The sequence below is a fragment of the Homo sapiens genome, chromosome 1 (genome assembly GCF_000001405.40).
Source record: "Homo sapiens chromosome 1, GRCh38.p14 Primary Assembly".
NCBI classification, from domain to species: Eukaryota; Metazoa; Chordata; class Mammalia; order Primates; family Hominidae; genus Homo; species Homo sapiens.
The window spans coordinates 247,255,646-247,257,844 of record NC_000001.11 but is presented as its reverse complement, the minus strand read 5'-3'; the positions used below and the strand labels follow the sequence as shown (position 1 = coordinate 247,257,844).

The window sequence follows — 2,199 nt, the reverse complement described above, 5'->3', positions numbered from 1 at the left end:
CTGGGGCATTTTCAAATTAATGTCTTTGTTTAGGTTTTCCTTGACTGCTGGGTAAATATAACTCAAAACCAACAGATCCTCCGCTTGAAGGCAGAGGTTGCAGTGAGGCAAAATCATGCCATTGCACTCCAGCCTGGGCAACAAGAGCGAAACTCCATCTCAAAGAAAAAAAAAAAAAGCCTATAGACATATATGATTGATGTATAAAATGTGATCAAATATCTACAAGTGCTTTTCTGCCGTATTATAAAAGTTCCTAAATCAGATGCAACAGAGATTAATAATACCCGTTAAAAATTTACACAGAGACAAAATATCGTGACATTTAAAAACCCTAGGTGATGGCCAATTTCATTTTTAAGTCTTAATTTTCATCACTTCTTTTTAAACATTTATTCTTATTTTCTGACAACTTAGTAAGAAGATCTTAGTCCATTTACTGTTGCTTATAACACAATGCCTGAAACTGGGCAATTTCTAATGAAAAGGAATTTGCTTATTACAGTTATGGAAGGTCCAATATCTCACCAGATGATCAGAGCCTTCTTGCTGGTGGGAATTCTGTAGTGTCCTGAGGCAGCAGACGGCATCATATGGCAAGGAGGCTGAGTGGTCTCTCTTCCTCGTCTTCTAAAGCCACCAGTCCCATTCTCATGACAACCCATTAATTCATGAGTTCATGAATGGATTAACCTCTCATCACTTCTTAGTACTGCCACATTGGCGATTAAATTTCAACATGAGCTTTGGAGGAGACAAATATTTAAACCATAACATTTGCAGAGTCTTGAATATTTGGTTATCAGCATAAATTAGCATCAAAGGACTAATTGCGGCATAGCTATTGGCCACAATAACCTGGAGCCACACTAGCAGAGAATCATTTATCCATGTCACACCTCCTGAAAATGAGAACGTAAAGTCCACCCAGTATGTGAAGACAAAACTCACCAGCAGTAAGATAGCCTGGGAGGCTCTTTTCACTGGTGAGACTCGGGGACAGGCTGGCTGTGTGAAGGCACTGAGATAGCCTCTTATTGTCTGTATAAAATAATCACCATGTAGCCTCTTGAGAGGACCATGAACCCTATAAAGGTGACATCCCTCAAAGTCATTAGTGTGAAAAACAGTCTCCTGTGGGTGTAGCTCATGGGCAAAAAGGAACAGTGCTGTATGACAAACAGAAGACTGGCCCCGTTTCACTGGGGGTAGCCGCAGTGTACAGCAGAAGATTACACCAATGAACATGTTGAGGACCCATGAGAAAAGGAAGAATCCTAAGATGTGACTTGCAGAAGGATGTTTGAGCTTTGCCAAGGAGAAGATGCTGGGGCTGATGATGGCCTGGAGCACACTCAGGAGGCAGGGGGTGCAGATGGAGAGGCCCCTCATCACCTTGTTTAAAAAGACAATGACCTTATACCTAAGATCATCCTGAGTATTCTGTGAACCAAAGAAGTCTAAGGACACCAATATTGCCTGGGTGAAGAGCAGCAGTATGTGGATGAGAGACAGGTGACTAATTATCATGTCAATGGACTTAGACCTGTGACTGAAAACAAAGGTGAAGATGTGGAAAAGAAGAAGGATGGTGTTTGCTGAAATTCCAAAGCTGGCTTGTGGATAAAAGAAGATTTATATGGTAATAAAACCAGGAAGTTTGATCATCTTAGAAGGAAAATTAAAGCAAAGGATATCTGTGGAGAAAAGCAAGAGATCTAATGAGAATAGCATAATTTCTGCCATGTTCTCAATAATAACCAATTTCAACATCTCTATGATCTGGAATCATTAGTTTCTAAACTACAAATATAGATTAAATCTTTATTTTATTTTATTTTTGAGACAGAGTCTCTCTTTGTCACCCAGGCTGGAGTGCAGTGGTGCAAGCTTGGCTCACTGCAACCTCTGCCTCCTGGGTTCAAGTGATTCTCTGGCCTCGGCCTTCTGAGTAGCTGGGATTACAAGCATGTGCTGCCATACTCAGGTAATTTTGTATTTTTAGTAGAGATGGGGTTTCACCATGTTGGCCAGGCTGGTCTTGAACACCTGACCTCAGGTGATCCACCTGCCTCGGCCTCCCAAAGTGCTGGGATTACAGGCATGAGCCACTGCACCTGGCCTATAGCTTAAATCTGAATCATTTATTTCTCACCATCCAAGATACAACTCAATCATGTAATTCTTTATTCTTATTTT

General features: G+C 41.0%; 1 pseudogene across 1 annotated transcript; it reads right to left on the bottom strand.

Moving 5' to 3' along the window:
- Window positions 1–699: 699 nt before the first annotated feature.
- Window positions 700–1,773, bottom strand: VN1R5 (vomeronasal 1 receptor 5 (gene/pseudogene); annotated as a pseudogene). The gene has a single exon (NR_160309.1). The product of NR_160309.1 is annotated as a vomeronasal 1 receptor 5 (gene/pseudogene), transcript variant non-coding (transcript).
- Between the last annotated feature and the right edge of the window lie 426 nt (window positions 1,774–2,199).